The 22,979-nt window shown below is 36.6% G+C and overlaps 1 long non-coding RNA gene across 2 annotated transcripts in view; it reads left to right on the forward strand.

Moving 5' to 3' along the window:
• LOC105371310 (uncharacterized) overlaps positions 1–22,979 on the forward strand; it is a 134,908-nt gene that overhangs the window by 5,548 nt on the left and 106,381 nt on the right. Inside the window, exons 1-2 of one of the 2 annotated variants that reach the window (XR_001752233.1) lie at positions 1,887–1,992; positions 14,927–15,044. This is a non-coding gene — a long non-coding RNA (uncharacterized LOC105371310). Of the gene's footprint in view, positions 1–1,886; positions 1,993–14,926; positions 15,045–22,979 lie in introns of those variants that run through there. The other variant, XR_001752234.1, reaches the window with a different exon arrangement.

A 22,979-nucleotide genomic window follows, 5' to 3' on the forward strand; every position in this document is an offset into this window, starting at 1 on the left:
AAAAGAGAGACTCTCAAATCTTACAGCACCACTGAAGTGTTAAAAGTATAATTTCTCATGTCCTTAATTCACCCCCAACTCAAAGTGTGTTTTCTCTCTCAAACCATTCAGAATAATTTCTGTTACCAATTCAGCAGATGCTCTCAATTTCAGATTCATTTCTTCCATCTAATTGTTTCTCTTTTTGTTTAACAGCTTTATTGATGTATAATTGATATATAAAGAATGAAACATATTTAATGTGTACAATTTGATGAGTTTGGACATAGGCAAACACCCATGATGCCATTACCACAATCAAGGCAATAGACATACTTCCCAAAGTTTTCTCATGTTTTTGTGTATGTGGGGTGTGTGTGTGTGTGTGTTTGTGTGTGTGTGTGTATGTGTAGTTGGAGTACCTAACATGAGACTTGCCCTTTTAATCATTTCTTATTGGCCATTTGCTTTCAGTTTGTCCGTGTATTGAGTGGTAATTGAGCAGGCCCATTCTTAATAAGTTGGAGCCATCATCTCCCTCACTGAAGGTACTGGGCTTCAATTAAAACAAAGAAAATGCAGTGCAGTATGTAAGGGACAGTCAAAAAATGTGTTGTCCAGGCTAACGAGCAATTTTTATTACTGAGGTTGCAATGGTCTGAATTCATGTTGAAATCCTAACCCCGAGATAATTGTATTAGGAAATAGAACCTTTAGGAGGTGAATAGGTCCTGAGAGCAAAGCCCTCATGAATGAGATTAGTGCCCTTATAAAAGGGACCCTAGAGAGTTCTCTTCCCACTTCCACAATGTGAAGACACAGTGAAAATATATGCATCTATGAACCAGGAGAGACACTATCATCAGACACAGAACTGGCTGGTGCCTTGATGCTTGACTCCCCAGTTCCCAGAGCTATGAGAAATAAATTTTCCTTGTTTATAAGACACTACTGTATTTTTTTATTATAATAACTTGAACAAACTACTATAGAAACTTGGCACTGAGAAGTGGGGATGCTGCCATGATAAATACCTAAAAGGTGGAAGCAGCTTTACAACCAGGGAATGGGCAGAGACTGGAAAAGTTTTGAGGTGCATGCTGGAAAAAGCCTACACTGCCATAAATGGACCTGTAAGAGTGTTTTTGGTGACAGACCAGAAAGAAAAGAGGATAACTGAAGACAGAGCCTCAGTCTTCTTAGAGAATATCTAAATAATCCTGAACAGAATGTTGATAGAAATATGGATGGCTAAAGCCAATCGGATGAGGTCTCAGACAGAAATAAAGAACATGTTATTGGACAATGGAAGAAACACAATTCTTGTTATAAACTGGCAAAAATATGGCTGAATTGTGCTTGTCTTCTGGTGTTTAATGGAAGGTAGAACTTTTAAGCTGCAAAACTGGATATTTGATTGAGTCAGTTTCTAAGCAAAGGGTTGAAGGAGTGGCCTGGTTTTACTTGACTGCTCCTCATAAAATCTGAGAAGAGAGAAATGACTTAAAGACAGAATCATTAACTAAAAGAGGCCAGGCATGGTGGCTTACACCTGTACGAATCCCAGCTCTCTGGGAGGCTGAGGCAAGTGGATCACCTGAGGTCAGGAGTTCAAGAACAGCCTGGCCAACATGGTGAAACCCAATCTCTACTAAAAAATACAAAAAGTAGCTGGGTGAGGTGGCAAACACCTGTAATACCAGCTACTCAGGGGGCTGAGGATGGAGAATTGCTTGAACTCGGGAGGTGGAGATTACAGTGAGCTGAGATCATGCCGCTGTGCTCCAGCCTGGGCGAGTGGCAGAACATAAAGATTAAAAGGAGGCAGAATGTAAAGATTTTGAACATTCTTGTCTATCCATGTTGGAAAGAATAAGAGAGCCTCTTAACCTTCTCTATTCAGGAGAGAACCAGAAGGATGTGGCCAAATAACCATGTGTTAAGGAGATCAGTCAGCCATCCGAACAGAGGCCAGGAGCTGTTGTACAAGACAATGAAAGAATGACCCCAAAGGTAATTAAAAATAATCCAAGACTGCCCTTCTTATCCCGAGTCCCAGTGAGCAAGGGGCCACTGCAGAGGGCCTCCATTAGGGCAAAGTGCAGAGGAGCCTCCATTAGGGCAAAGTGCAGAGGCTGTATGAATGACCCTAGAACAGTAGAGCCACACACATGGGAGTCCAGCCATTGAAAAGAGCTGGTTCAAAACCCAGGCACAAAGCTGTAGTTGGTGTGGGACCACCCAAAGAGGCTTCTCAGAGACTTGGGGGCCCAACCTGGCAATACAGGGGGTATAGGACAATTACTCCAATGTGCGTAAGGTGAGACCTCTGCCCTAGTGGGCATGGAACATACAGAGCCATAGAAGATTATTCTCAAGACTTAGGATCTAATGTAATTTGACCTGTTGACTTTCCAGCTTCCTTGGGATCTGTTACTCCTTTCTTCTTCCCTATTTCTGTTATTTTGTAATGCGTGTGTCTATTCTGTGCTTTTCCCACCATTGTAGTTCAGAAGTGCATAGTACATTTGATTTCACAGGTGGACAGCTGAAAAGCAGTTTGCCTCAGGATGAATCATACTTTGAGTCTTGCCCATATCTGATTTAGATAATGTTCACAGGAGACCTCAGACTTTTGAGATGATGCTAGGATGAATTAAGACTTTGGTATTATTGGATTGCAATGCATGCATTTGCAGTTAAGAAGGATGTGAATTTTGGAGGACCACAGGAAGAATTTGCAACCCCCCTTACAAATCTATATGTTCAAATTCTAACCTCAAGGTAATAATATGAAGAGGTGGTGCCATTAGGAGGCGAGTAGACCATAAAAGTAAAGCCCATATGAATGATTTCAGTGCCCTTATGAAAGAGGCTGGAGAGAACTCCCTTCCCTCTTTCACCATGTGAGAATATAGTAGAAAGACAGCCATCCATTAACAGGAAGTGGGCCCTCACCAGACACAGATTCTGCTGGTGCCTTAATCTTGGACTTCCCAGCCTCCAGAACTGTGAGAAATAAATTTCTTTTTTTTATAAGTCACCCCACCCAGTTTGTGGTGTTTTGTTATAGCAACCTACATGGACTAAGACAGAGACATACAGACCCTTTGAGTAAGAGCCTGCCCTCTGAATGACGTTAGATGTTGATATTTATGCCAAATCTGGATATATCAATGAACTTATGTAAATGATGGAGTATCATCTTTATATCAAGCAGAATATAATTAATTATCTACTCATATATCTAAGTCTTTGATATTAGTTACGTTATTATTCAGGACCTTCCTCATATCACTACCCAGACCCTGGAGGGCTTTATATTGCTGCCCCATCATTAACTGGTTTACTAAATGTCTCCCAGCTCTAGTTACTTCATGTGCAGAAAATACTAACTATGATACCCCTTTCTTGAACTTATTGTGAGATTCAAAAGAAATCCACATATAACCTCTTAGGACTGCAATTTGGCATATCATCCTAAATATTATCTGCTATCATTTTCATAGCTTTCTGAATTAGATAAAAATATATGAGATGCAAAGGTATAGAAGATATATCATGGCATACAATTTAAGGGATATAGTATAAGAAAGAATAGTCATCCTGAATGTAGCAGATCCTGTTTATGCCAATTCCATGTCACTTAAATTATGCATTCTAACTTTTTTCTTCATGTCTAAATAAAATTGACATTTAGAAAAGCCACAGTGACTTGACACATTGACTTAGAACAACTCTAAATAAATTCTGTTATTGGCAGAGGCATTTTGACCATTAGCAATAGTTTGGCCATATAAAAAAGACCTATTTTTATGAGTAAGGATTTATTTATATGAAGCCATGATAGGGATCAAATAGAAGCTAATATGTGAAGCAAAGTCAGGAAAATTAGCAAATGTAGATATCACTCCTCATATTCTCCCATAGCCAAAGCTAATAAGTGTGTATTTATATAAATTGATCAGAGCTATTATTACATGCTAGATGGTTATCTTATATGAATTGTGATACTTATGTAATTCAAAAACCCTAATCATAGTTATTAGCAAAACAGTTGCATAAAAATCAATTAGCCTTTGCACTGTAAGACATTACAAACTAGCGCATTATTTCTGCCTCACAATACATTTATTTCCCAAGCCTATATAAAATATTTTCAGTATACAATGGAAGAAACAATATTCCTTCGGGAAAGTTCTGGAGTTGTCTCTGTGAACTTTCCAAGGTCAGGATTATGAGATAGCAAATTCTTGATTCTCTGAATCATTACTCGTGTGTTTTCCTAACTTGAACTTACACAGATTTATGCTCATTTTACCATTAAAATGAAAAAAGACAAGACTATATGTATTGTGATTTATAGGACTTGCATTCTTACCCAGGATGAATACATATCCTTATATTTGAAATCTGAAAAATTAGCAATACTTCTTAAAGTATGGTAAAAAGTACAAAAGATTATTTTTCAAAGTTATATTTGGGTTGCTTTTCTCTAGCACAGGGAAATATTTCAATCCAACTTCTGAAGACTCCTTATATTTTCTCTGTGTTTTAAAGTTTTTGTAAAATATCTTTATCAATTCTGCAATGAAACTGTTGAGATTTAGAACCTCTCTGTCTGTCCTTCTCCCCCTGCGCTTTCTCTCTCTCTCTATCTCTCATAGACAATGACTATTCTTTCCCGGGGCAATTTCTATTTGGCAATAAACTCAGAGACATTTCCAAAGTCAAGAAGAATGAGGGGAACTGGGGATTACAAAGTTATAAAATGCAAGTTGTCTTGTTAAAGCATAAAATGATTGCAGGAAATGTCACTCCAGGGGAACAGTGTCTTGCCACTGATTTTTGCTAATGGAAACATTTGATCGACTCCAAGGAGAACGTTGCTTCATGATTACTAGGGCAGTGCCATTATTCAAAATCTCAGTCTGATTTTAGCACTAAGGATGCAGTTTTAATGCCCAATGATACTGAGTTCTTTTCAGCAATAAGTGACTCTTAAAAGGTTCAGGAATATTGGTTAGAAGAAGTCCTACCCTTAAAGTTTAGATGGCAGGATATGAATCTTAAATTTTTTGTGAACTTGAAACAATGATTTAACTTTTCTGGGCTTATCAGGATTGTGGAGTTCTCTCCTATTGATCCACCTAGATTTTCTAGTTGCCATCTGTCCAACAATTATTCATTGTTGGTTTATTGATTAATTGATTCAGCAAATATTTGTGTAGTGCTTTCCATTATATAAATGAATGCACAGCAGCTGTACCAAAGTTTTACTACTGACTTTGAGCTTTAGTTTAATTGATGGATCATGAAATTAGCTTCAACATGCTGTCAAGTAACTTGATTTAACCCTAAAGTAGGTACTCTAGAGCTCAAGTAGAAAGACATCTTGTTCTTTGCCAAGATTATAGACTTACAGTTCATTAGAATAGTGAGCCTCCTTCTAATAGTTTATAGATTTTTTTCCTTTTTAAAAGTATATTTTATGTTAACAATTCTATGGTATTTGTTAGCACTTTAATAAAAACTGTGTCCCATTTTTGATGGAAAGCATCTTACCTTATTTATTTGGCATACTGGTATTCATTAATTTCCCAACATTTCCTCTAATTTACCAGGTAAAAAGTGCTGTGCAAAGTGCTCAGGAGCAGCATGATATATCCGACATGATCTCTCATTTTCTTTTTTTTTAAGCAAGTACTTAGCACCTACTATGTTTTATTCTGGCCCTTGAGAGTCACAGGCTACCTGAGATAAAGTCTATATATTTAGAATCTAACAGTATTAAAAGAGGAGCTAATATGTTAAGGCCAAGTACCATTAATACAAGGAAGAATATCCATTTATAACAGGGGAGCACAAGGAGTAAAGGAAATTCTTTCAAAATTAAAGAAAAACATTTATTATAAAATTATTTATGTATTTATTTGACATCCCTCACACATTTCAGTCAAATGTAACCAGTCTAAATAATTGAACATTTATGCAACAAAAAACAGACTATTCTATGTTTCTAAATATGGACCTGTCCTGCAATAGCCTAATAATAATATATTCTAAACTAAATAACAGTATCCAGTGTCAATTTATAAATCAAATAAATGAGCATATTTACTGTCAGTTTAGAAAAATATATATATAGCTTTGTTGCTCATTTGCCACAGGAAAACCACCACAGAATTATTCTATATTTTTAAATTATATTTTATTTGGGTTATAATAAACTACATAGTGACTTAAAGGAATGGAACAGAGGATGTCTTTGTTTGTTTGTTTTCATATGCTGGACATTAAAGAAATTTCCAAACATAGCCCCAGTGCATCCCAGATGTATTTGCAGATTTCAGGCTCTTATTCATTTATTTTAAAATGTTGCTTTGAAATCATCGCTAACATTTTTTGAACGCTCATCCTATCCAGAGCTCCCTTTAAGTGTTTCCTAGGTTCCATCTCATTTAATCCTGACAATCATTGCATGAGGCTTTTTTTTTTCAGATGAGAAATCTGAGTTAAAGGTTGAGCAACCTCCATAAACCAGAGTTTTGCTGAATTTCACAGTCTGAGACATTTCTTCCCTGGCAGATGAGTCACAAGATAATAAGTTGTGGAGGAATTACAAGTCTAAGTTTTTAACCAACTGAAGCTGTTGTACATGTGAAAATTGAACCAACTACTTTGTAGCCAGATCAGCATATTTCACAGTCACCTCTTTTTTGCTTTCTCTGCAGAATTCCACACATGGTTCTGCTTAATGTTAAGCTACGCATGGAGACCTGGTTTAATTGTAACAGAAGTGGCACTTTTTCCCCATTACTGCTACTGCAGGAAGAAGTGACTTTATGTTAACTGAAATGCACAACTTATGTAGTGTATTATACCTGAATGTTACAAAGTTCTTAAGAAATTGACAGTTTAAGTCCTGTTATTTGACTTATACTGGAATAGTGTAGGAGGTGGATTGTACTAAAATTGAGCAAGTGAAAAAATGAGATTAAAAAAAAATGCCCCAAACAGGCAATTTCTCTTTAATTGAACTATATCATGTAATATTGTTTATTTCATTGCATTATTTTAATTAAAATCAAAAGTGCTGTTACTACCACATGTAGTCCGTTTAGGTAAGTTTTTGTAATATAGTTAGCATGTCATCATATTTAATATTTCTTAGAAATATGCTTGGTAGAAAAATGGCCACATGGAAATCATTTTATTTTTCTTTGTTCAAATTTGCTGTCACATAATTTTACATCAGCAGTTAATACTGTTCTAAGCTTGGGAGAAGGCATTAAAACCATTATTTGGAATCTTATTTGAGGATCTGGGTACTAAAAACACATTTGGGTAGGTGTAATCTATTTAAGAAAACACAGATCACGTATTCCTCTGAAGCTACTTTTTTTAAAATGTTGAAAATATTAAGAAGTTGGAGATGATAACTAAGAATATTGCTTGCATGCGAATAACCTTGGCATTATAAAGTGAAACTAAGTGGATCCAAATAATTTAGTGAATATTTGGACCTCCTATACTAATTTTCTACTTTAAAAATGTCCATATTGAAATTATTCAAAGCTGAAAAGAGGACAGTTGCTTGAGCTGAGAAGAGTTATCTACCTATCTAACTAGATGCACATGTAACTTCATATGTGGAAAATTTATAACTAAAAGTATATAGGCAGTTTTATCATCTTTATCATTCTATTATTATACATTGCTAGTTGAGACATTAAAGATGTTTGATAATCATATTCCTCAGTTTTCTTCTTCTTCTTCTTCTTCTTCTTCTTCTTCTTCTTCTTCTTCTTGTTTTTCTTCTTCTTCTTCCTCCTCTTTTTTTTTTGGTGGGGGTTGAGGTGGAGATAGGGTCTCCCTCTGTCACCCAGGCTGGAGTGCAGTGGCACAATCATGGATCACTGCAGCCTGGAACTCCCAGGCTCAAATGATCCTGCATCAGCCTCCTGAGGAGCTGGAACTACAGGCAACTGTCACCACACTCAGCTCATTTTTTTTTTCTGTTATTTGTACAGATGTGACTTCCATGTGTTGCCCAAGCTGGACTCAAACTCCTGGGCTCAAGTGATCCTCCCCGCTCGGCCTCCCAGAGTGCTGGGATTACAGGCATGAGCCATTATGCCCAGCTATATTCTTCAGTTTTTACCAGGGAAAAGGTTATGTTGTTTCAAAAAACAGAATCATCCATAGAATAAATAGGAAGCAAAGTAATTTAGTCAGATACTAAACTAAATTCCCCTAATCAAAGGTGAGACCCTCTGTCCCTAACTCCCTGGATTTAGGGGAGGAAAAAAAGGATTGTAAACTTTGAGTAGATACCAAGACCAAGAACATGGGAGTATATATTATATCGCTGAATCCTGTATGCTGGAGGATGCTGCCTCCTCTTGGAGACTTCTTCCCACGTAGAACCATATATTCGACTTGTCTTCTCCTACATCGTTCCAGTCTCTGAGATCTTTGCCTGAGAACTAACCTCACTTAATTTATGCAGTCTTATCATTTTATCTTCCATGTTCAGTTTTGGCTTTTTGTTAGCTCTGGCTACCACTGATTTGATTGGCAGATGAGAATGTACTGATTATCTGCAGAGATGATTGCTTTACGAATCCAGTAGATGAAGAAGATTTATATTGATGATTGATTATTGGCAATGGTCATTTGGTTTTGGAAGCCAATTGAGCTAAAGGTTTTTTATTTCCCTCTTGTAATGTGTGTATATCAATGTATAAACACATAGATGCAGCATTCCAACTAACATAATCTGTGATAAATATGTCCTTCCAGTTTTCAGGAAATATTTTTGAGAGTGGGACATGGATATAATAGGATGAGTTAACCATGCTCAGTAGTTCTCAGCACGCTCTTGTCAGTAGCCTGTGCGAGGCTTCCTCTCCTGCTTTACTGATTTCCTTTTCTCCTCCTTTTTCACACACATCCTTCTCATCCTCTCATGAACAATGTTTCTAAAATGTTGATGTATATATTTTTCTTGTTATGTATAATTTCTACACTTTTTGTGTACATGAATTTTTTATTCACCTAAGTTGTATTATACAATAGATCTTACTTGATTTTTAAAATTTTTCTTGTACTATGGCTTTAAGATCTATTCATGTTATGATGGGAACCTGTAGTATATTTCTCCCAGCAAATTTTTTAATGATAACCATCCAAGTAGTTACTAATCCTGTTGTGCATCAAAATATCTTATGGAAATTTTTGCTTATTTGTTTTTGTTTTGTTGTAAGACATATATACTAGATGCCACTCCCAGAAAACTCTCATTTGGAGATCTAGAGTACCAGCAAGTTTTAAACCTTTGTAATATTGGGGTTCAGTCAAGATTGAGAATCAAAAGTAGGTTCCAGCTCTACACAATTCCTTATATTTCAATTCATACCCTTTATGTTGTAAATCCCAACAATTCAATTAAACCTGTTGCTTGAAGAGTATCAGTGTCCAATTAATGCTAATGTTTTAAAATAATAGGTTCGCTGGAACCTTCTGCAGGATCTGATATTAATTTGTGACTCCTCCCACTTAAAAGGTTATCTTAGTTTGCCTCTTCGCTTTTCCCAGTGTCTGAAATATAGAGTTGGGTACAAGCAGTGATTTTTGGTGTCGTCGTCTTTTGTTTTTAAAATTTTGTCTTAGGCTGGCCGGGCGTGGTTGCTCACACCTGCTATCCCAGCATTTTGGGAGGCCAAGGCGGGCAGATAACTTGAGGTCAGTATTTCACGGCCAGCCTGGCCAACAAGGTGAAACTCCGTCTCTACTAAAAATACAAAAATTAGCTGGGTGTAGTGGCAGGCGCCTGTAATCCCAGCTACTTGGGAGACTTAGGAAGCTACTCGGGAGGCTGAGGTTACAGTGAGCCAAGATCGCACCACTGCACTCCAGCCTGGGAGACAGAGGGAGACTCTGTCTCAAAAACAAAAACAAAAACAAAACTAAAGAAATAGAGTGAAGAAACAGAAGGTGATCAATGGAAGCAAGAAAGCCAGTTAAGTTTACATTATTGACATATATACCATCATGGACAACTGTGACTCAATCCTGTTTCTGACCTATGGAACCATGGAAACTGTTCCACAAAAATGTTCTAGCAAATGATCAGAATGTGGGCATTTATCCAATAAGTTCTGCAGCTCTTTGTTTGAGGATTTACCCTCTACCCCACCCCAGGTGTTAAGTGAGCTCCCCTTCCCCTGTACTGTCAGGCTGTGCCTATGCGACCAGATGAGCAGTCACTCGACATTGGAGAAAGCCTAAAAGCTGCCACAGGGTCCCTTGAGATGGGATTCTGGAAGTTTGCAAAATGCTGTTCCCCAGTGCTACGCTGAAACTAGCGGGGCCAAGGGAATGTATTGTGGACCTCAAGTAGTGTCTGCTTCCAATGACTTTCTCTTACTATCGTATTCTTCTTTGTTCTTTTTTTTCTTCCTGCCTGAAAATAAAAATATGTTCACATACCGTGTAAAAATCTAACACTAGGCAAGACAAGATCCTTTCCCATTCATAACTGCTTGATTTAATGGGAAAGGCAGATCATTCAATCCAAAATGGTGGTGGAAGAGATATGCAAATGGAACAACTGAGACTGTTTTTGCAAAATCACCTTAGGAAAGTCAGAGAAGGCGAAGTGGGAAGGGCTAATCCCTGAGATGCATCTTAAATAATGTTTACAAGAAAGCCCATGACAGAAAACAACCTGTTTCATTATCATGCACTCCGATTATTTCCCTTCCATGTGCTTGCAGAAATAAATTATTCTGTTCTTGGCCTTCTCTCTTTACACATATTCTCATTGTCATTATGTATAATTTACCTTCTTTATTTGAGCGATTATTTGATTAATGTTGGGCTCCACAATTGACCAGAGGCCATTAGAACAGAAATATCTGTTTCCATTTATCTTCCTTGAATCCCAAGTCCTAACATAGTGCCTGACATACAGATAAATAAACAAACAGATGAAATGATAGAGTCCCAGTATTGATATTTAAGAGTCCAATGCTTTAGCAATCCCTTTAATATAAACTTAATGTATGACTTTAGGAAGGTCATTTTTCTTTCATGGGCCTCAGTCTTCACAGTTGATTATTGCATTTAGAGTCCTAAAATGGACCTTCTAGTTGAGTCTTTAATGACTCAAAATACCATGAAGATAACTTTGGCATTTTGTTTTTCAATAAATCAGTAATAGCCATTCTTTGTTGAGGCCTTTGCCTTGGAAAAGAATCAACCATCTTTACATAGCCATATAGCATTTACTTCCTCAGACTGTGGCTCACATCTACACAGGTCCAAACCCTTACCTCTCTTAACCCTTTACATACAGTGCACTTTTATATAATCTTATGCTAGAAAGAGAAGTGTTTATTATTTGAATATCAAACAACATAGACATGAGCATGCTTCCATTTGGAAAATCTTCTTGGTTCTATTGTCTGAAATATCCACCAAGTAGATCTGTAACCAGGGAATATTTAAAGCCACTGTATATTTTGTTCTTTATTTTTAAAAAGAGTGTTTTTTTAAATAAAGCATGTGGAATTGCTATGTTAATATAAATCAGGTAATGACAGAGTTGATTTGTAGTGTTGGGTCAGCCCTCATTATCTGGAAGATCCATGAAGTCTCAGATGTGTCACTAAGTCATACAGTCTTTGGAGAGTTGGGGCAAAAACAGAGATCTGGTAAATTCACTGTGAAACATGGTTGCCATAGACAATCATGGCCTGTTTCTAAAAGCAGAATAAATCCTCATTGGTAGAAAGTCACAAGATGATGGCCCAAATAGTCTTATTTCATGCATCCAGGCCTCTTGTTACCCTCTTGTGTACCCAATTACAAAGTCAGGAGAGAGGTAAGACATTCACAATGGATGTGCCTCCTCATATATAGAAGGATACACACGACCCTACTGGGTATGCATCCACAACTGCAGAGAAGAGAATACACTCTGAGAAAAACTATCTAGTGAGCTACACATTTCCTTCAAACTTTCTGAGTTGTCAGCAGAACACAATGTCCCGTGCCAAAAATTATGTCAGCCTTTCCCCCCAGAAATCACTCCATAAAAATTTAAGTCTGTGCCATTTCAAATTCATCTGAGAAAAGGAGAGATAAAGTATCCTTAAATCAAAGAGATTTATGTATTCCAATAAAGCTGCAAGATTTTGTTTTGATAGCAATAATGCAAAAGCCCACAAATTAAATGCTCTTGAGGAATGATTATGGCTACAGGAGTTATTTTGTTTTTATCAGGATTGAATAGCTGTGTAACTTGTCTCTTATAGTTGTACAGATTGCAGTTGTATTGATAAGTGGTTTATGAGAAATGGTGTTGAATGAGGAGGAAAGTACAATTTACTTTTAATTTGATTTCATTTGGTAAACCTGACTTCACAGCTTGTGTTGTGCTTATTTATTATTCACCATCCATGATACAAAGTAACCTGCCACCAGGGACATCAATTATGACCCCCCACCTCCCCACTCAATGAAGATTGCTGTCATCAGAAGGAATGCCACGCTCTCTGCCCATGTGTCAGTGATGAGTCAATGTAAAATTTCCTCTGACCTCGAAGGGAGTTTCTGCTTCTTCTCTCTCCCTATTGCCAGAGGGTCCTTTACTTTACTTGGCATTCACTAAAGAGCCACAGAGGCAGAATAGACTGATCAAGCAATCCAGAGGCCAGTCAAGATAAATTAGATGCTTAATTTATATGCCAGGCTTTGCAGACAGACTAATTACACAAAGACAGTTTGATAAAGTAATATAAGACTCTGCACATATTAGCCAGAGCCTGCTTCCGTGAAATTATTGCTGATATATGTGCTATGGGCTTTGAGATTTCATATGCGCAATTGTTCAGCGGGCACTATGAAACACATTCTATAAAGGTATTAAGACTGGGTGCTATCTGCCAATCTTTTCTAATTTTATGCTGCCACTAAGAGACTATTCTTCCTTGGCTTTGTGATTTTATAGCACTCATTGAGATGAATGTGAAACAGTTAAACAGGAAATCTGAAGATACGATGGCCAAGAAAGACACTGGAAATGAAGCACAGACAATTTTCATGGACCAAGCCACTAAAATATTGGTGAAAATGGGCCTTTTGAAGAATCACGCTGGATCTAAAGCTCTTGCCTTATCTCTTGAGAATTCAGTCTGAGTGACCAGAGACACAGAATACAAGATAGGAGCTGAAACACACCGATAGAACAAGAGAAACCTTTGGCTGCTAATGTTATATTGCAAGATCACAGGATCAAGGACAGACTTTATATTCCAGAACTTTGTGTTTGTGGACAGTGGCTAATAGGGGCAGCCAATAGCTCATGTTCTTGGAATAGCTTTAAACACTGTAATTGAAATGTAAGCTTCACCTAATTGCGTAAGAGAGGCCAAGAATTGACTGCATTTAGTATAAATACTAATGGAAAGAAAAGGATATTTTAAAGTGAAGGGTATGAGAGATGAGATAATTGGGAGAAGAAAAGAGTTTTAGGTAATTGAATGAGAAGTTTGAGGATATTAGTAGAGCCAGAAGAGAAACAGCTCTCACAATTACAAGAAGGTAAAATTTTTTAAAAGTTCCCAGATATGAGAAGATAGCATCAGAATCACACACACACACGTGCGCACACACACACACACAAAGAAAAGTATTCATTTATTACCAGAGAAGGATATTTAAAGCAAATACACATATAAAATAAACAAAAAATGTATCCAAAAAGTCATTGCGGCAACATACTAGGACACAGAATTTCTAGATGGGATAAGCACTGCCTATAGCAAAGTCAGACCTGAATAAATTTCCTCTGATTGTTCTACATGTTACGCTTCCAGTATAGTGGCTGCTCCCAGGTGAATAATGGTGCAGAGGTCATGGATATCTGGGCCATCGTATACATTCATTCCTTTTCCTAGTTAGTTTTTAAGAGACACTTTCATCCCTACCTGAACTTTGGTTCGGAAACCTCATAGGGTCAGAACCTTGTTTTCTGACTTTGAGTTAAGGGCTCCCCTGGGGCTTCATAGAAGTTTTGACATTAAAAGGCCTCAATGTAGCTTCTCTAGAATTTCCGAAGAAAGTTTCAATTAATGATTTACAATTTCTCAAGGGAATGTGTTAAGTTCCTGGACATCTAAAATCAGCTTCAAAAAAATTCATGTTCAACCCACGATTTAGCCTTTCCATAGTGTTAGAGTACCTAATATCTCCTCTTTGATCTGTAGAATGATCAAGAAAATAATTGTGGCTACAGACAAGTGCCTTTACATCCCTAAACTCCATGATACTTGGTTTGCCAACAGAGTTTCCTTGGCAACATGCTTTAGTTATGTGTTACGCTCTCTAATTCCTCCTCTGACTCAATTTATATCAGCATGAACTTGCTTTAACAACAACAACAACAACAGCAACAACAACACCACCACAATCCTATATTGAAATTCTTTACTGAATCATAAACTGCTGATCACAAGTGCATGCTGGGAGGTAACATAGCATCCTCCATAAGTATAAAAGGTCTGTAAGTTCTGAAGGTAGACTTCCTCAGTTCTGTATTTTGCCAGAATGTAATGTTAGACATGTTATTTTTAAATCTTCAGATTATAATTTTTTGTCAGTTTATTTAATAATATAGCAATAATAATGCCTATGTCACTGGATTGCAAAGGGAATTAAATAGCATAATGTGTGCAAGAAGCTTAGCGGCATGCTTGGCACACAATTGGCATTTAACAAAATTTCAGCTGCTACAGACTTCTCACCAGACTAGAACACTTTTTTTTTCTAGAAACACATATGGATAATATTTCAAATGAAATAGAGAGTGAATTCTTTACAATCTCAAAAGTACAGTGCTCTCAGTTTCACACAAAAAATGTATACTTCTCTTTAACAGATACACAGATGAAGATGACATCTATGGAATCTTTTCCTTGCAATTGATGCATTCTTTAGTCCAGTAATATCATCTCACTTTGTATCCAAGAGATCCTCTCTGTTCATGTAGAATTCAGGTAAGTCCCCTAAACTTCTTGGTTTTCCATCTGTGGAAAAATTGTGGTGGGAATATTTGTACACCAGTGCTACTATTTTATGGCTTTCAGTTACCAGACATATAAAAACCTCAGTTTTATCTAAAAAGTTAACTTTAATATAATGTTTCATCAGTGACTAAAATATCTTCATTCCTGGTTTATTTCCAAGTTTAATTTCTAGCCTAATGACATAGAAATGACTAATTCCTCTGGCACAAGAAAGTAATCAGTAAATTAAATATTCTTATGCCTGTATTCCAAACTTAAAATTGCTTGTTGGAAGTAAGGATTGAATGGAGTATTTGATTACTATCTTGAATAAATTTATTAATTTATTCAAAACTCATTTGAGTGTCTATAATGTGCTAGATACATGCTAACTTCTAAAGAAAAAAGTATATATATATGTTTTTATATTTGCTTTATAATTCATAAAGTGCTTTTGAGTGACATTATCTATTTTAACATTTACGATAATCCGATAAGAAAGGTGAATGATCTCCCATTTTAAGATAAAGAGTTTGATTGTGGGAGATGCCAAGTGACTTTTACATCATCCTATAGTTAAGTACTGGACAGCAGGTGGAAACAATCTATTAAAATTATATGTCATTTCCAATCAAACTGTACTCATTCTAAAGTTTTGTGTTTGTTTGTTTTACCACGTAAGTCAGGAAACATCCAGTTCAATACTTGCCTTTGTCAAAACTTTAATCCTACGATAAATAAAATCTCCTTTCTTAGCCTGGGTCAGTTTTAGGATATACTGCATTTCTGAATGATGAACTAACACAGTGAAAAGCAATACATTATGCAGAGTCAGAGGGCCTGGAAAAATCAGCTGCTGTTGTTTTAGCTAATATATAATGATTTCAGGTTTTCTGACTAATGAAACAGAGAATGCCATGTTTCTCCCTAAATGGTGCAATTTCAGCTCTCAGGCTGGAACTTTATCAGAAATGCAGATTTAGAAAAGCAAAGTGGTCTATGCATCTGCTCAGTAGAATGGGCTATGTGAATGCTTGTGAATCTTTATTTTGGTAAACCTGATGATTTGAAAGCAGAGAGAATGATTAAGTTCCCATGATTAGTAAATAAGGGGTTTGGGACTCAAATCCATTTCTCTCTGGCTTCTAAACCACATCCCCTGCTCCTGTCTAATGGAGTCTTCTGAGTGTTCTTCTTTCCATTATGGGAATGGGGAAGCTCCTTCTTCTCTGTAGCCTCAGTGCCAAGCATATTATGGGTGTTCAGTAAATAGGTGGTGAATTGCCTGTGTGGATGAACTTTTCATCATAGCACCAAATACCTCCCTAAGTACTCCATTTTATGGGGCTGGAGGTTTTAAACTGGCCTAGCCAGGGTCAGTTGCCTTGTCATGTTATTGAAATTACTTATTAACACTGTTTATAACAGCCTCATCCAGAAAGTGATTGTTTCATGTCAGTGAACTCACAGCATCTGATGGTGTCTATTCCATTTTCACAGGTGCACCTGTACCCACACGCACACAAACATGGCAAAATGATGTTGTTATTATCTGTTTTTTTAAAAAAATATTTACTTGTGATTAGCTTATAAGCTAAAATCTGGCCCCTGAAATTTCCATTATGTTTTCTGTCCTTTTTAGGGGGACAAACATGTAGTTTAATTGTCTATATATCCATATATATAATCTCAATATTTATATTACAGTCCTTTCCAGCTATTGCCAATTAAATACAAGGCCACCAAGGTTATTTTTCTTCTAAAAATACTTTCCTTTGACCATCATGAGCACAACTAATACCATGACCAAGGACACTGTCTGTAAAATATCTCCATGGAATTTCAATGTCAGTGAAAAAAAATATGTAGAAAAGAGAATTACCTTAAAGGCAAGTTAAATATTGAGACAACACATACCTTGGTATGTATAGTAATTGCAAAAAACAATTTGATGAACGTTTAAAGTTCAAACTGCCTAGAATTTTTTTCCAATGAAAAGAATATTGCAATGCATTGTACATAAACAATGTATTGTAATTAAATATTATTCAATCTAAAACTGTATATTTTAAAATATATGCTGTTATTCCCAAATATATATGTTTATGTATATCTAATATATGTATATTAAAATTAATTTAACCCTCTATCTCCCAAAAAGATTTATCACAAAGTACATTTCAAGAGAGCAATGACATGTTTATATTTTGTTCACAGTTATACCTTCAATACCTCAAACATTACCGGCCATACAATAGGTAATCAATAAATGTTTATTGACTTCATTACCAATGAAACTAATCCTAAGAATTTCTAATGGTAATAGCTTTGTGCTAGGCATTAGCTTACCAATGATAATTCGAAGATGAATTTGATCTGTTCACCGTCTTTAAGGACCTACTAGTGTGTTGATTTTTATAAAAACATATAGGGTAGGCATCACTTTCAGTTAGTCCCATGTCCCAAAGTTGGAAGCCAAGGCTCTGTGAGACTGAAAGTCTCGCTCAAGTTCAACTATCTAACTGTGGCAAAGCCAAGGCTACAACAAATAATATCTATCAGAAATGCCTTTCAGAAATTGTTCTGTGTGCCAACAATTAAACTGCAAATGTTTAGAGTCAGGAAACTAAATGAGTAAACCTGAAGCAGCCCCTTAATGGACTCAGCCTCTGTCATGATTCTCAGTAAAAAAGCTAAAAGATACTTGGGGTGGTCCCAAGGAACTCAAACCTTTAACATGATTCATGAGCATAAGAAGAGCTCTTGGAGAAGGATTTTTCCCAGAGTCCCTAGAATTCCTGAAGCTATGGGTGGAAGACATGAGGGAAGTGCTGGGCCAGGGTTTTTATCTGTGAAAGGCACTGGTTTTGAAGCCTAAAATAAGGTCACATGGTTTTACTAATTTCTAGTGTTTTTTTACAAAAATAGTTATTATGAGCATTGCACATTGAGTTGTCACTTTGAACACCTGGCAGTTACAACAGTCTGGCTTTGTGTCCCAAAGGAAAGACGTACCGATACACTACCAAAGACTGGAACAAGTAGCACTACATATTTCTTCCATAAGTACATACGTTAATATATGTTAAGTGCCTTACAAATGGACATGTCTTTAAATCATTTATTTCTAATTTTAGGACAACGTTTTCAAGAAACAATCTCAAATAAGGATAGACTTTTTTGAGAAAATGGTATATGCATTTTTTTCAAATAATGGAAAGAAGAAAATATTCAACATACAATGGCCTTAGGGTTGTATGATGTGTGTGTGCGTGTGTGAGTGTGTGTGTGTTTTCATTTTGTGACTATGTAACTACTACCTAAAATAGTTAATAGCTGTAAATGCAAAGCATTGCTTTCATAGTGATAATTTGCAGTGGAAAATTATTTCACTTGATAGGATTTAACTTTCTCAAGGTATTGTTTCTTAAATAGCATATTCCTAGGCTCCAAAAGGACATATTTGTAGCAGTCTGAGAAAATTACATTTTTCCCTTTGGAAAAGAGATGATTCATTACTCAAATGTAGGAAATACTGTTTATTATAAAGTGTAAATCCAAGTATATAACATATACATGTGTTAACACACACAAACTTACACAAAATCCTAAAAGAAAATAAAAATGTTAAATATTATTTTATTTTCAGAATATTTTTATTTTAATGAATGTATACTTTCTTTACATCAAAAACAAGCAAAACAGTAAAAATACCGTAAAGCCATATGAAATTTACCAGTTATTGAATAATGAAGTCCAAGTACATCTTATTTAGTTTCATTGTCTTTTACTTAGAATCACTTTTAACTCAAAATTTTATGCTTCAGCTCTACAGCTATCAGGCCATTTTGTAGTTTACTAATTGGACAAGATCTGTTGAGAACATTTTAGCATTTTTTAGATCTTTAAACATATGTTCAGTAAAGTTACAATAATATTGCCTTTCTGATCAATTCTGGATTGTTTTAACACAGAAAAAGACATTTCCTATAGTTTCAATAAAAGTGTATTTTAAATTATTAACTGTATTACTATTAAGATTAATAATAATTTAATTATAGCCTGAGTGATGGATGAGTTTGATTCTCCACAGAGGAAAAGGATAAAAAGAAAGAGGTGCTTTTGAATCATTTAATTTGTTAGGGCATTTTACTTGTGAGGTTGGTATTATTAATGCTAGATTACGAGTTAGTGGGTGCAGCGCACCAGCATGGCACATGTAGACATATGTAACTAACCTGCACATTGTGCACATGTACCCTAAAATTTAAAGTATAATAATAAAAATAAATAAATAACAAAGTTAACACAGAGAAGGTAGCAACTTTAATCAAAGTTACATAAGTTGTATATAGGTGAGAATGCCAGAATTTGAATTTGAACCTTTGGTCTCTACAAACACTTTTTCACCATTCCTAGGCATTCCTGTCTCTTAAGTCCCCTTAAAGATGAAGCCAAGATTCTTACCTTGTCCCATGCAGCCCTTTATCTCTGCATGTCACATCTCACCCTCCCTTTACTGTCAGTTCCACTGAAACCAGCTTCCCCATGGTCAATCTGGAGACCCAAATTCACCTGGTATTTTTCTTTTCTTTCTTCAACTCAATTAAAAAATACTTCTACATCTTCTTCCTCGGGTTTACTGCTATGGACTACACACATCAGATGCTGAGAAATATGCAGTTAAGATACAGATATTCTTCAGAGTCATTTTCATCATCTGCTATTCTTCAAGTTATCTTTTAAATATGCTCTGAAGATGTTTTTAAAGTACAATCTAGGCCAGGCACGGTGGCTCATGCCTGTAATCCCAGCACTTTGGGGGGCTGAGGTGGGAGAATTACCTGAGCTCAGGAATTCAAGACCAGCCTGGGAAACACAGCAAAACCCCGTCTCTACTAAAATACAAAAAATTAGCCGGGCGTGTCAGCGGGCGCCTGTAATCCCAGCTACTCGGGAGGCTGAGGTGGTAGAATCGCTTGAACCTGGGAGGCGGAGGTTACAGCAAGCCGAGATTGTGCCACTGCACGCCAGCCTGGGCAACAGAGTGAGACTCCGTCTCCAAAAAAAAAAGGTACCATCTAAAACTTGAAAGGGGAGTTTCATAATTCCGAATGGCTATTAGAAAACACACACACGTGTGCACATGCACACACACACACACACACACACACACATCCCCCTTATATCTATTTCTATCTGTGCATGCTTATATGTCTATATTTTGCCATCAGACTCATGGTGTTCAAAAGCAACACTGGCTTTCATTGAATGCCCCTATAGCAATATTAGCAAAGTGCTATTGCTGCTGGCTCAGTGCTTATTTAAATGGAATAGCAGGGCCATTTCTCCCCATGTTATGGGCTTCGGTGCACAGCAGAGAGCAGCTAAGGATTTCTTGGCACACATCTGAGTGACTCTCCACAGAGGTCACCTAAGGACACAAGAAATTGGAGGCCAGATAAATATCCCTTTTGCATCTTCAAAGAGTGACCTTTCTAGGTGTGCTTAAAGGAATGGGATTTTTCTTCTACTGCCAAGGACAAGAATCTGGCCTAAGCTCAAATGTTAACAACAACAAAAAATGAATTCTAAGATGCCACTTCCTCATCAGAGCTTTCTAAGGTGGGAGCGTTCATTGTCAGTGTGAATTCTGTACCAGGAAGAAAATCACCAGAACAATGGTGCTAAATTTGAACCAGGGCACTGTAGGAAGTGTGGGTGCAAGTGTGGACTTTGTACACAGATGAACCAAAATTTGTACCTGTTCACCTGAGTTCTACCTTCTAGCAGTGGTCTTTTGTGATCTGATGGACCCCAAGATAACGATTTTAGAAAAGAGGTCCCAGGAAGTACCTTCTTACTTAGTAAGGGGGAGTGCTTAGCAGTGAGCCAGAGAGACTGGAAAGGATTAGTAGTTAACAAAGGATATTTTAATAAGCAGGTTACAGTTATGGGCAACTGAGCCTCAGTCCCATTGGGAAACTCTAAGAAACAGTATAGAACTTGCCTCAGATTTGTCCCACCAGGTAGGCCAAGAAGCTAGGTGTTTTTCTTCTAAATTATTTTAGTCATTGCCTGAAGTTACTTCTGAGACCATTAACATCATGGCACTCTAGTGGAGTGGCAGGAAGGCCCTATGAATATATATTGGAAACATGAGTATGATAGGAACATGGGTGGGGCCCCTGCTTTTCTAGGTAGGTGACTTAACTGCTCTTACCTTCATCTGTACATTGGGTAGAATCATCAGTGTTTTACAAAGTGTTATTAAACATCATCTGGAATTACATACATAAAATGTCTAACAATGCCCATTCCCAACGACTACACAAAGGAAAGCATAGCTATATTTCACTTTTAAGGGGTGATTGACAAAGGGTCCATTTAAATATTCTTAGGACACTATAAGTTTTAAGGCAGTCAACTCTCTGGGCCTCATGATGAAAGTCCTTGTAAAATAATATTTGAAGTGCTTTTATCTAAGGATAGAGGTGCTTTATTTGAAGGTAAGGATAGGGGTAAGAATGAATTATGAGCCCACTTACTAGGTAGCAAATGTGTATTAACTCCAGGGAAAGGAAAGGTCACGTAGAAGGAGGGAGGAAGTGAATTAATTACAAAGCATCTTGTTAAATAATTGTAAGAACCAGAGAAAAGGCTAAAAGAATTATGGTTCCACATGCTGACTGTGGCCATGTCTACACTGAGAAAACAGGTCAACTTATGTAACCAGGAAAAGAAAGAAAACATGCAAAGAAGAGGAGACAGCCTGAAACAATGAAATTTTCAGGTTCTATCTTGGTGCGTGGACATCTAAATATATCAATTTACCTAGAAGAGTTATTTATGCATTATGTTCAGTACCCTCTCTGAATATCTGTGCATGCAATGTCTGTGTTTAAGTTATCAATATATGAAAATAGGATCTTTCCTTGGGTTTTATAGGAAAGGTATAATTACCTTTTCATGTATAACAAGAACAGTAAAATATGCTATAACAAATAAAACCAATGCAAAATAATTTTAAGTCCATGTAAGGGTATTCTATTTGATATAATTAGGTAACTTAATTGCTCTTTTAGGACTATTTCAGATTCAAAGCTTAGTTTAAGCCTCATCTGAGATTTGAAATTTAACAGCGTGCAGTTCTATGTGAGATATGTGAAAGCAGACAGAGAACTGGTTTGAAATTATGACTGTGTCCTTTACTAGACAGAAGACAATAACATAACTCTGCAACCCTCAGTTTGCTGGGCTACCTGGTGAGAGTAACAATTCTTACCTTGGATGAAATATATTTGCCAGTCTAGAGTACTTCCTGGTGCTCATAGCATCATAACTCAGATATAATTCATTTAATCAGTGCTCCTATGGGATGTTTTCATAGTCCAATGCATGACATGTGGGACAGTTTCCGCATATGAGCCAGGATGAACAAATTACTGTGTGGCATGAATCTACAGAGTACATGTGCTAGAGGTACCACATATATTCATTACTGGAGGTGCCACATATATTCAATTATTCACAATATTTGTCAATGACTATCAAATATGGGACCATTTAAGAACCTTAGGAAAAAAATACACAGAAGATCTAGCTATAGTTTACAAGTTGTTTGTTTTAATAGGGAATCCATTTATATAATTAGCTATATAATTAATTACAATAAAGTATTGCTAGGGATGTTTGACAAAAATCAGGAATGAATAATTATGAGTAATATCTGCAGTTGACACTAAGGTAGGCAGTGAGGCATACGGAGGTAAGAACAAGAATCTGAAGACTGTGTGTTACAGCCCTAATTCTGGTACTATTAGAATGACTATAGGCAAGACATTTAACCCCTATATGCTTTAAATTTCATCATCTATAATATGGAATCCTTATGGGCCGTACAATTTTTTTGGTGGAGGGAAACAC

Source organism: Homo sapiens, chromosome 16 (genome assembly GCF_000001405.40).
Source record: "Homo sapiens chromosome 16, GRCh38.p14 Primary Assembly".
NCBI classification, from domain to species: Eukaryota; Metazoa; Chordata; class Mammalia; order Primates; family Hominidae; genus Homo; species Homo sapiens.